The sequence below is a fragment of the Homo sapiens genome, chromosome 9 (genome assembly GCF_000001405.40).
Source record: "Homo sapiens chromosome 9, GRCh38.p14 Primary Assembly".
In the NCBI taxonomy this organism is placed as follows: domain Eukaryota; kingdom Metazoa; phylum Chordata; class Mammalia; order Primates; family Hominidae; genus Homo; species Homo sapiens.
The window spans coordinates 83,705,345-83,717,460 of NC_000009.12; the positions used below are offsets into that span (position 1 = coordinate 83,705,345).

Here is a 12,116-nt window from a genome sequence, read left to right on the forward strand (position 1 = left end):
ATGATTCTCCTGCCTCAGCCTCAGCCTCCCCAGTAGCTGGGATTACAGGTGCCTGCCACCACGCCCAGCTAAGTTTTGTATTTTTAGTAGAGACGGGGTTTCACCCCGTTGGCCAGGCTGGTCTCGAACCTCAGGCAATCCACCCGCCTCGGCCTCACAAAGTGCTGGGATTACAGGTGTGAGCCACCGCATCCGGCCCAGAAGCATTTTTTAAAACATAGTTTCTCACAAAACTGAAACATACAATTGCCCTATGACCTACTCAAACCAAGTCTAAGTATATAACCATGAAAGATAAAAGAGTAAGACCACAAAAAGACTTGTATAAGACTGTTCATAGTAACTAACTGCAAACAGCCCAGGTGACCTTCAACAGTGAATAGATTAATTATGGTATACACATACAGTGGAAAACTACACACTAATAAAAAGAAAGGAACTACTGATACACGCAACAAAGACGAAACTCAAAAACATTATGCTGAGTGGGAAAAAAAAGCCTTACCCAGAAAAATACACACAGTACTATAGGCTCTATGGGATCCCATTTAATGTTAAGTTCTAAAACAGGCAACTCTGTAACTTAGGGCATAAAAAAAAAAAACTGGGTGGTTGATGGAAAGGCCAAGTGACTGAAATGACTGGGAAAAGGCAAGAAAAAACTTTCTAGTCAATTATAATGTTCTATATCTTGATAAGAGCTTGGGCTACACAGGTGTAAGCATTTATGAAAACTCACGGAATGGCAACCATATGCATTTCACTGCTGCCAAAATTACGTCAAAAAAACGTAAAAAATGAAGTTGAACTTAGGCAAATAAGTTCACAATGCTGAAGTGACATGTACTGGTGTCATCTACTGATACGTGCAACTTACTCTGAATTGCTCCCCAAAATTAAATGAACTTGATAATCGATTATAATACCGTAAAATGCTAATTGTAGATGATGGACATATGTGTATCCACTTCCCAATTCTTTCAACTTTCCGCATGCTTGAAAATACAAAAATGGTAAGGAAAATTTTTACAAGCACTGGGAGACAAAAACAAAAGTGATAATTCTGTTGGTGGTAAAAGTTTCTCTCATTTGATGTTACACACCTCACTGCTTCACAAAATACACTACCTTTGGAACTCGTTAAACCAATACCCCAATCACCTACTGTCCCTGGGGAAACTGATAGGTACATTTCAGGAATTGTTGTTTCCTGTCACCAACTGTTCACGTTGTTTGCGATCTTCAGAGATTAAGTCAGTAATTATGGAAAACACGACGTATTCAACAATACACTAAAATTATTTGTTAAATTCCACCAAGAATCTTAATTAACTGCAAGATTTGTATTCCTGAACCAAGTTTAAGTAATATTCTGCATTCACTCCGATTTTCTTTTATTTGATTGCAACCGCTAATATCAACATCGCTATCGCCCCTCTAAAATCAAACAAAAACCTACCCAATGATTGGCATCTAAGAGATGATAAACATACTAAAAGGGAAAGAGCAAGTCATCAGTGAAAGAAAGTCATTCACTTTTCTCCTTAAACCTAGTACTATCACTATTACTTAAGATGGAGCTAAAAACAGTTTCTACGTCATAATTTTTTTTTAAAGGTTGCAAGGTGGGAAAGATTTCAGGAGTTAAAATGCAGAACTAAATATACACATGCACCTCACCCCAAAACCCACCTTAACAAGCAGGCACGTAAAACAACGAGGATCCCACCCACCCCTTTTTAATTCATGAAACAAAACCGCAGCCTGAGCTAAAGCGAACCCTCGCCCCCGCCCAGCCTCCACCCCGCCCGGAGGCTGGCGGTGGGTCCCTTTCCTTTGTGAGGAGTTGGAGGGGAGGCGACGGAGGGCGGGGAACTGGGGGAGGAGGCTGAGGGTCGGCGGATACCAGAGAAGGAAGGCTCCGAGAAAAGCGGCATCAGCCCGTCCCACAAACAGGCCGCGCCGCCACGCCACAAACCATTGCGGTGTCCCAAGGCGCAAACCCACGAACTTGGGTGTGATCTAATTTGGGACGACGCCCGGGAGAATGGCCGAGGACGACCCCTCTCCCAGGCCCTTCCAAAAGGTCTCCTGGGGCGGCGGGCGGAGGTCCTGCCGCCACCCCCATCCCGGCCCGAGCCCCAGGCGGCCTCACCTGCTGGACGGAGCTATTCTCGGGCACGGCGAATTCCTCCTTTTCCTTCGGGGTCTTCACGGTGACTTTCATGATTTTGGGCTCCGCGGAGGCAGCGGCCGCGGGGGCGCCAGCACCTTCGGCTCCGGCGGCGCTATCCTGGGAGCCCGGAGGACCGCCGCTTTCACCACTCTCGGCCATGGCTGTGGCGGCGGCGGCGGCGGTGACTCAGGCAAGCAGGAGGGAGCAGGCGAGCAAGGAGGAGCCAGCAGACACCAGAGCCGGCAGGCCTGGACAGCGAAGAATGCAGAGCACGCCGCCTCAGTAGCAACGGGCGCAGGGCCACCGTAGCGGGTGTGGGGCCCCGGAGCTCGGTGCAGGCTCTGGCGCAGGCCCGGGTCAGGCGCTCGGCAGCCGCCGTGTGTTCAGGCGCCGCTCGCTCACACCGACATCCGCAGCAGCCACCGCTTCCTCCTCCCTGCCCCTTCCCCCACGTCCCTTCGCCGGCGCCGCGCGGAGCACGCCGGGTAACGCGCCTGGCGGCGTCGCCGAGTCATCCCCGGCTGGCGCGACTTTGAGCTCAGCCTGCGTGCCTTTTCCTTTCCCGCTCCATTGCCCAAAGTGCAGGCGAAGCCAGTGTGAAGGACTAAAAGCAAAATGGGGCGGGGTAGGTCAGTTCATGGTTTTTTTCCACTCCTTTCACCAAAAACTAAATCGCAGTTTCCAGTTAAGCGCTGTAACGGCGCACCGAGATGACGTCACGGTTAGCGAAATTACTAGAAAGGGACCAGTGGGCCCTGCGGCCGCGGCTGCGCCTGCGCGCTTGCTGTCCAGGTAGTCTCCCCACCTTACCTCATGCCCAGCTGGGCCGTGTTCACCCCTCCGCGCTGTCACAATCGCCTTGCCCTCCCTTGCCTCTCTGTCTACTCTGCGTTCCCCGCTGGGAGGAGGGTCTGGTGATAAAATAGCGGCGAGGTATTTTGTTATTTTAATATGCTTAGCGTTTGATATTTGGAGGGGTCGTATTGCCCTATGCGGGGGAGTTGGGGTAAGTTAATGGTGGAAAGGCCTCAGCACAACGAACAGAAAATGGAGTGAACGCCCGTGACTGCCCTGCGCAATCCTGCGGAGTCATTGCTTCATGGCCAGAGCTTATTTACCGCCCTCGGGTTAGCCCGGTTTGGTCAGACGATCAGTCAGGCAACCTGTATTGACAGTGGCCTCTGCTGCTACGATGACAGCTGTGCGCGAGCGCCCCCAGATTATCTGTGTGTAGGGCGGAACAGGGTGCCCGAGGAGTGTCCACCCAAATGGGACAATTTAATATAGTTGAGGTGTTCGCCTTATATTCTATCAAATTAAGTTACTGGTCAATTTCAGGCTTTAAGTGGCATTAAGGATAGTTCCAAAATTATTTTCAGTGTAATACAGAGAGAAATTATCTCTGAGAATCCTAATTTGAAATGACGTCATTGGCTTTTAAAGATGACTTGCAAGGAATGTACAAACCAGCCCATTATTAATCAATGTTGCACAATTTAAATCCTGACAGCCCACTATGACCCAAATCCGCAAAGATACATTCTGCCTTTCTGCTCCTAAGCCGTCCAACCCTGTTCTGAGAATAAATACTGTTACATAAACACGACTTTTTAGCAGAGCTCTATGGAATCTGGGTCTAAGAGAATCCTGAGGGTATCGATTTCAGTATAGACATCATTTGATATCACCTAAATTTCTGGCAGCATGGCTCAATAACAAGGCCTTCTGCTTAATGAAGGATGACTACTTGGTTATGTCCAGGTGTGAGATGATCACTGCTTCTAAAGCTAGAAAGTGCCACAACTGGACAACCAATCATTTGGAATTTCTTCCATATGTCTAAATAAAATTTCTCCTCAACTTCATTAGCTCCTCATTACCTGTTTTTCCCTGTCATGCTGTGTCTTACCTGCATGCTTTGCCTAGGCTGCCTTCCTCTACCTAGAATGACTTTCCCCTTGCCTTCACCTGTCTAACTTCTACTCATCCTGTATCACATGCCCCAGGAAGACTTCACTCCCTACCATTTAGAGATATGGTTTTTCCCTTGATTCTCCAACAAATACCGTGTGTGTGTGTGTGTGTGTGTGTGTGTGTGTGTCTGTCTCCCTGCATTTATGGACTTTGCAATTATCTGTGTCTACATTATTGTCTAAAAATGTTTGATGTGTGTGACACTATAAGGTAATAAGATTTACCTGTAAGAAGATACCATATAGTTATCCATTGTTATGGCACTTTTTAGATATAATCCTGACCTGCATGAGAATCGGAGGTGGGGGCACTATGGTGTAAATCAGAGATTAGTGAACTTTCTGGGAGGGCTAGATAGTAAATATTTGGTTGGTGCCAAAAAAAAAAATTTGCAAAAACCGCAATTATTTATGCATCAACCTAATATTTTAGGCTTTGTGAGCCACAGGATCTCGGTCTAAAACACTAAGCTATGCCCTTGTATCACAGAGTAATCATAGACAATACATACATGAATAATCATAGCTATGTTTACTAAAAACTCTACTTGCAAAACAAAAACAGACATAGGATCTGATTTGGCCTACAGAAGATAGTTTGCCAACCCCAGGTCTAGATGTTTATTTGTGGCATTTTCTTCTGAATGGTTTTTGTTTGTTAAATGGTCTGTCTGGAGAAAATTTTAAGAACATATTTTATCACAGTATCCTAATACTGTATAATACTATATTGAGCATACAAGAATAATAAGACTCAGTTTCTGCCGTCAAAAAACTTGAAGTGATAGTTGGATGATGGGGGTGAGGGATAGGAGGGAGACTGGCAGTGATGTCCTGGTAAATGACTAATAACCAGTCCTCCTGAAAATAAACTTTATTACATTTGCCAATTTCCTTGATGTAAATACTTGCAAATGGTTACCAACTTGAGATCCTCTGCCTCACAAAACACGTGAAATTTTACCAGTAAGCCCTCACAAGCCAGTATGAGCCAGCTCCAACTGAAGAAGTCCCATTTTGAGAAAATCCATTATTCAGAGTTCAAGTATATTGATAGAAGGTTATTATTCACGATAGAATAATTCTTTTTTGACAAAATGATTCAGTCAACTCAATAAGAATTCATTGAGTATCCTCTGACAAACTTTAATCCTCTAATCTTGTGTCCAGGAACATACCTTTAATACGAGGTAGTACATATGTCATGTAAGTGCTATAAATAACATGACTTCATCATGTTACTAGGCTACTGAAAAATCTATCATAAGTTTCCCACTGCCTAGAAAATAAAGCCAAAGCTTTTTATTTTTTTTGGAGACAGTTTTTTTCTGTCGCCCAGGCTGGAGGGTAATGGCATGATCTCGGCCTACTGCAACCTCCGCCTCCTGGGTTCAAGCGATTCTCCTGCCTCAGCCTCCTGAGTAGCTGGGATTACAGGCATGCACCACCACGCCCAGCTAATTTTTGTATTTTTAGTAGAAACAGAGTTTGACCATGTTGGCCAGGCTGGTCTCAAACTCCTGACCTCAGGTGATCCACCCACCTCAGCCTCCCAAAGTGCTGGGATTACAGGTGTGAGCCACTGCGCCCAGCCCAGAGCTTCCTAACTAGGCCTTCCACAGGTAACTCCTAGTGTTGACTCCTGTTGCTCTCAATATATATGCTCCATTCCAGTCAAATACCTTTATTATCATCCCTAGAAGCACTTATACATTATACTTTTCTTAACTTCTGATCATTCCTTCAAGTCATTACACCCACCTCCTTGTACCCATTATTGCTACCTGCTTTCTGAAACTCCTTGAATACCCAAGCTTACAGAATCTGACCTTCCGTCATAATTACCTGCACATTTCACTTGACCATTCATCACTTGTAGCACAGCTTCTATTATCTGAAACTTTCTCCTGCTACCAGTCTAGTTTACACCCTCATGAGCTCTGGCCTAGATTACAGCAATAACCTCCTACAGATTCCTCTGCCTCAATCTAAAGTCTCCATCCTCAACTCTTATTTTCCTGTGATGCCATATGTTATCCTAGAACGAAGCTTTGATTATGACACCTGCTTGAAAATTTCCAGTCACTGTCACCAAAGTGTTAAGAGTAATGTCTAAACTTTGTGGCATGGTGTCCAGGGTCTTCTGTAAACCAAAGACCTTGCTCTTCACTCATATCTTATCCTCAACCAAACTGGTCAGCTAAGCTCTCCAAGCATGTCTTGCACTTTCCAGCTTCAACTGCAAGTAGAAATTCTTCCCCCTTATTTTGACCCCATCATTTTACCCATCCCGCAAGACTCAAATGTGACATTCCCTAATAACCCTTTTTGGATCCGAAATAGTCTTTAAATCCTCTGTATTCCCATATAGCTTTATTACTTTTTGATGTCACTTACCACATTCTGTCTTGTATCATATGTCTGTGCATATCTCATTTATTAGATAAAGGCCTTGAAAACAGGGATCAAGTCTTAATCATCATTTATACCAGAGGTCCCCAACCCCTGGGCCATGGACCAGTACCAGTCTGTGGCCTGTTAGGAACTGGGCTACACAGCAGGAGGTGGTGAGTGACAGGCAAGCAAGCATTACTGCCTGAGCTCCACCTCCCATCAGATCAGCAGCAGCAGCGGCATTAGATTCTGTTAGGAGAGTGATCACTATTGTGAACTGGGCATGTGAGGGATCTAGGTTGTGTGCTCCTTAAGAGAATCTAATGCCTGATGATCTGAGATGGAAGAGTTTCATCCCAAAACCATCTCCCCCTGACCCCCAGTCCATGGAAAAATTGTCTTCCACAAAACCGGTCCCTGGTGCCAAAAAGGTTGGGGAACTGCTGGTCGGTACAAAAGTAATTGTGGTTTTTGCACTGTTGGAATTTGTCATTTGATATTGGAATACATTCTTAAATAAATGTGGTTATGTTATACATCATTTTAATGTGCATTTCTTTTTTTTTTTTTTTTGCTAATGACATTGCTGTTTGTTTTATATTTATTTTAGACTATGGAAATGATGTTAGACAAAAAGCAAATTCGAGCAATTTTCTTATTCAAGTTCAAAATGGGTCATAAAGCAGCGGAGACAACTCACAACATCAGCAACACATTTGGCCCAGGAACTGCTAATGAACGCACAGTGCAGTGGTGGTTCAAGAAGTTTCACAAAGGAGAGGAGAGCCTTGAAGATGAGGAGCATAGTGGCCAGCCATCGGAAGTTGACAGTGACCAATTGAGAGCAATCATCGAAGCTGATCCTCTTATAACTACACCTGAAGTTGCTGAAGAACTCAACATTGACCATTCTACAGTCGTTCGGCATTTGAAGCAAATTGGAAAGGTGAAAAAGCTTGGTAAGTGGGTGCCTTGTGAACTAAGCGAAAAACAAAAAAATTGTCGTTTTGAAGTGTCATCTTCTCTTATTCTACGCAACAACAGTGAACCATTTCTCGATCAGATTGTGATGTGCCATGAAAAGTGGATTTTATACGACAGCCAGTGACAGCCAGCTCAGTGGTTGGACCAGGAAGCTCCAAAGCATTTCCCAAAGCCAAACTTGCACCAGAATAAGGTCATGGTCACTGTTTGGTGGTCTGCTGCTGGTCTGATCCACTACAACTTTCTGAATCCTGGCGAAACCCTTACATCTGAGAAATATGCTCAGTAAATCGATGAGATGCACCAAAAACTACAACACCTGCCGCTGGCATTGGTCAACAGAAAGGGCCCAATTCTTCTCCACGACAGTGCCCAACCACACATTGCACAACCAGCACTTGGGAAATTGAACGAATTGGGCTACGAAGTTTTGCCTCATCCTCCATATTCACCTGACCTCTCGCCAACCGACTACCACTTCTTCAAGCATCTTGACAACTTTTTGCAGGGAAAACGCTTCCACAACCAGCAGGATGCAGAACATGCTTTCCAATAGTTCGCTGAATCACAAAGCATGGATTTTTATGCTACAGGAATAAACAAACTTATTTCTCGTTGGCAAAAATGTGTTGATTGTAATGGTTCCTATTTTGATTAATAAGATGCATTTGAGCCTAGTTATAATGATTTAAAATTCACAGTCCAAAACCACAATTACTTTTGCACCAAGCTAATACCACACAGTGCCCAGTGTGATTTCTTGGCATGAGAGCATTTATTGTTGAAATGAATTATTGAACCATCCTGTTTTCCACCAGAGAGGAAACTCCTTTAGAGCAGTAGATCATATTTTATACTCCTTTGTCTTTCCTGAAGTTTATAGTATAGTGACATAAATAGATGATTGATTAATTCAAAGAAAGATAGATGTATACATACATGCCTTAGAACTTATTTGCTTTACAATAGAAGTTCAAAGAAATAAAACACTGGGGCAGGGGAAGGTGGAAAAGTCAGAGGCTTTTGAAAGAAATGATTTTGAGCCAGCCCTTAAGGAATGGATATGATTTTAAGCATGTTGAGAGGGACGATGTCTTGAGAAAGAGTTCATAATGGGGAATAGAAACTCTCCTAGAACACCAGTCTCAAATTGGGTCCATAGCCTAGGAACAATTGGAACACTTCATAAATATCTCTAGGGCTACTTCAAAATCAAAGGGAATGAAGTGTTCCAGTTGTTTCTGAGTCTTCGGGCTGGAGAAGAGGTGGTGGTAAAGATGGGTGCTTATTAATTTGCCAACTAAAACTTTAGACACTGGGTAGAAGGAGCAACTATTAGGTTGGTGCAAAAGTAACTGCAGTTTTTGCCATATTTTAATGACAAAACTGCAGTTACTTTTGTACCAACCTAATATATGTACGGCCACTACAAACTTTGGATAAAAGTTGCTAAGTAGGATCCCATAGTTTTCTTGGTGCTGTACCAAGCACTGCATAACACACAGAAGCAAAGGGGGCTGGCAGCGGCACAAGGTAAGGAGACATAGCAGCCTCTTTGGAGAACATGGCTGGGGCTCTATTCGTTTTTTCGCTTTTTATTTTGAAGTAATTATAGGAAGTTGCAAAAATAGAGTCCTGTGTACCCTTGCTTCCCCCAGTGGTGGCATTTGATATTGTTGCATAATATCAAAATTAGGAAATTGACATGTTAACTAGACTACAGACCTTACTGGTTGTACCATATTTTTAACCTGCATTCATTTGCATGTGTGTGTCTGTATGCATGTAGCTGTATGCAAAATTCCATACATAAATTTATGTTACCATCACTGCAGTCAAGATACAGAATTATTCTATCACCAGTCTATTTTTAATCCTTCCTGTATTACAGGGTTTTTCAACCTTGATACTGTTGACATTTGGGGTCAGATCATTTTATCTTGTGGGGGGCTTTTCTGTGCATTGTAGGATGTTTAGCAGAATCCTTACTCACTAGATGTCAGTAGCAGTCCCACCCTACCCCTGTCATGACAATAGAAAATGTCTCTAGACTGTGCCAGATGTCACATTGGAGGCAAAATTGCTCCTGGTTGAGAACCACTGCTGTACAGAGAGCTAGTGGAATCCTCTTTACCATCTGCATCTTTCCTCTTATTTCCCCTCTTACAAAGTGGAGTAGCAAATGTTATCAAGTATCAAAAATGATATTTCACGTCAAAGTCTTTTTAATTCTGAGTCTATTAGAATACTCAAGATAAACTTCACTGCGAATTTTTCCCAGTAGATGGTAAGTCTTGCCAGGATTCCATTATAAACTTAATCTCAGTTACTGCATCTCACCTACTCATCCCTTATCAAGAGTCTTGAATTTACTCAGGTCTTATGAAAATGCCTGAAAATATTTGAAGACTATTCTCCTTTGACCTCTCTTACAAACAAGTTACTGCTCATAACCTAAGACACAGTCCCTAAGGCAAGCATTGACTATCTTGCAGAAGTGTTAAGACTGGTTCTCCTGGAAACATATGAATAGAAGGATATATATTTTGATAAGTAGACTCAGGTTTGGTCTTATTTTGTGTGTAAAACTCTAAGCCTGGTGATTTCAGTGGACAAATGTATTCAAAACAAACATACTTGGAATGTGTTTCTTGACCTTAGGAGGTTAGCTTATGTGAAGAGTCTGCCGTCATGTATAAACTAAGCAAATGAGCCATGGGGAAATTTTAGGTGATTACTGAGGACACAGAAAAGAAGGTTAGGAATTTTCAAAATCTGTAGTATGATGCCAATCATCCAAGAATTCCAGAGGATACTAATGCTTCTGGGGGGAAAATATAATGCTTCTGGAAGCTGAGAGGTGTTTAAAGAAGAAAGTATTGTCTTCCCGTCATTCATTGCACTTGAATAATTCTTACAGCCTTTTTTCCCATTTGAGAATGGTCAATGAGTTGAAAGGTCAAGGCAGAACCTGTGGCTTATCCAAGTTCTATAATATGTCAAATAACTGTGAAGGATCTGAGTCCCCACTTACAAGCTATCAGTTTCAAACTGTAAACACAAGACTCCTACATGAGAAACAAAGGTCTTTGTTACTCACAGCAGTATCAGTGGCTGCCATGTCAGCATTTTCTTGCACCAGTTACCCAAGCCCTAATTTCCACAAGGTGATACAAAGAGAGCTAGGTGACACCTGTACACACAGTGGTTTGCATGATAAGAGAGGAAATCCAAACATGGGGAACCCAAATCTTTTATAATGGGCAGTAAGCATGACTTCCCTTTGCTTTGTAGGAAGATACTTTATCTTCTAAGACTGTTCACTATAGAAATACCCTTGGAAAAATAGTCCAGGCCAGGTTTGGTGGCTCACACCTATAATCCCAGCACTTTGGGAGGCGGAAGCGGGCAGACTGCTTGAGCTCAGGAGACCAAGACTAGCCTGGGCAATGTGGCAAAACCCCATCTCTACATAAAATGCAAAAGTTAGCCAGGCATGGTGGCACCCACCTGTTGTCCCAGCTACTCAGGAGGCTGAGATGGGAGGATTGTTTGCACCCAGAGGTTGAGGCTGCAGTGAGCTGTGACTGTGCCACTGCACTCCAGCCTGGGCCACAGACAAGACCCTATCTCAAAAAAAAAAAAAAAAAAAAGACAATTGTCCAGAAGAAACACAATATATTAGTTTGCTATTGCTGTTGTAACAAATTACCATGAACTTAGTGGCTTAAAACAACAGATATTTATTAACTTATAGTTCTGGGGATCAGGAGTCCAAAATTGATCTGAAAAGGCTAAAATCAAAGTCTGTGTTTCTTCTGGAAGCTGTAAGGGAGAATCGATTGCCTTTTCCAGTTTCTAGAGGCTGCCCACATTCCTTGACTTGTGGCCACATCACTCCAACCTCTACTTTCATTGTCATATCTCTTCTGACTCTCTGCCTCCCTCTTTCCTTCATAAGGATCTTTGTGATGATGTTGGACCCACTCAGATAATCCAAGATTCTCTCCCCATCTTAATATTCTTAATTGCATCCTGCAGAGTCACTTTTGCATGTAAGGTAACATATTTTCAAAGGTTCTTTTTTTCTTTTTTTCTTTTCTTTTTTTTTTTTTTTTTTTTTTGAGACGGAGTCTCACTCTGTCACCCAGGCTGGAGTGCAGTGGCACGATCTCGGCTCACTGCAAGCTCTGCCTCCCGGGTTCACGCCATTCTCCTGCCTCAGCCTCCCGAGTAGCTGGGAGTATAGGTGCCCGCCACCACGCCTGGCTAATTTTTGTATTTTTAGTAGAGACGGGGTTTCACCATATTAGCCAGGATGGTCTCAATCTCCTGACCTCGTGATGTGCCTGCCTTGGCCTCCCAAAGTGCTAGGATTACAGGCGTGAGCCACCGCGCCCAGCCAGGTTATTTTTTTCTTTTTCTTTTTTTAAGAGATAAGATCTCACTCAGTCACCCAGGCTGGAGTGCAATGGCACGATCACAGCTCACTGCAGCCTAACCTCCTGGGCTCAAGCAGTCCTCCCACCTCAGCCTCCCCAGTAGCTGGGATTACAGGTACACACCACCATGCCTAATTTTTTTTTTTT

At 43.5% G+C, this 12,116-nt stretch overlaps 1 protein-coding gene and 1 long non-coding RNA gene across 5 annotated transcripts in view, besides 3 other annotated features; one reads left to right on the top strand and one right to left on the bottom strand.

Moving 5' to 3' along the window:
• Positions 1-2,614, bottom strand: part of UBQLN1 (ubiquilin 1) — a 47,991-nt gene extending 45,377 nt beyond the window's left edge. For all 3 annotated transcript variants that reach the window (NM_053067.3, NM_013438.5, XM_005251948.4), the window contains exon 1: positions 2,156-2,614. In NM_053067.3, coding sequence (NP_444295.1) covers positions 2,156-2,335 — 180 coding nt within the window. In that variant the 5' untranslated portion in view covers positions 2,336-2,614. The remainder of the gene's footprint in view (positions 1-2,155) is intronic.
• Positions 1,637-2,527: an enhancer, noted in NCBI's record as "NANOG-H3K27ac-H3K4me1 hESC enhancer chr9:86321896-86322786 (GRCh37/hg19 assembly coordinates)". NCBI's record gives its function as "activates a minimal SCP1, AML or CMV promoter by ChIP-STARR-seq in naive H9 embryonic stem cells {active_cell/tissue: H9 hESC(naive)}" and the evidence as "EXISTENCE:reporter gene assay evidence [ECO:0000049][PMID:30033119]".
• Positions 2,295-2,364: an enhancer, noted in NCBI's record as "active region_28496". NCBI's record gives its function as "activates an Ori minimal core promoter by ATAC-STARR-seq in GM12878 lymphoblastoid cells {active_cell/tissue: GM12878}" and the evidence as "EXISTENCE:reporter gene assay evidence [ECO:0000049][PMID:35858748]".
• UBQLN1-AS1 (UBQLN1 antisense RNA 1) lies at positions 2,491-8,152 on the top strand. Of its 2 annotated transcripts, none has more exons than NR_135839.1 (2): positions 2,491-2,968; positions 7,154-8,152. It is a non-coding gene; the product is annotated as a UBQLN1 antisense RNA 1 (long non-coding RNA). The 2 variants fall into 2 exon arrangements; NR_135840.1 differs by lacking the exon at positions 2,491-2,968 and adding an exon at positions 2,987-3,109.
• Positions 2,528-3,416: an enhancer, noted in NCBI's record as "NANOG-H3K27ac-H3K4me1 hESC enhancer chr9:86322787-86323675 (GRCh37/hg19 assembly coordinates)". NCBI's record gives its function as "activates a minimal SCP1, AML or CMV promoter by ChIP-STARR-seq in naive H9 embryonic stem cells {active_cell/tissue: H9 hESC(naive)}" and the evidence as "EXISTENCE:reporter gene assay evidence [ECO:0000049][PMID:30033119]".
• Positions 8,153-12,116: the final 3,964 nt, after the last annotated feature.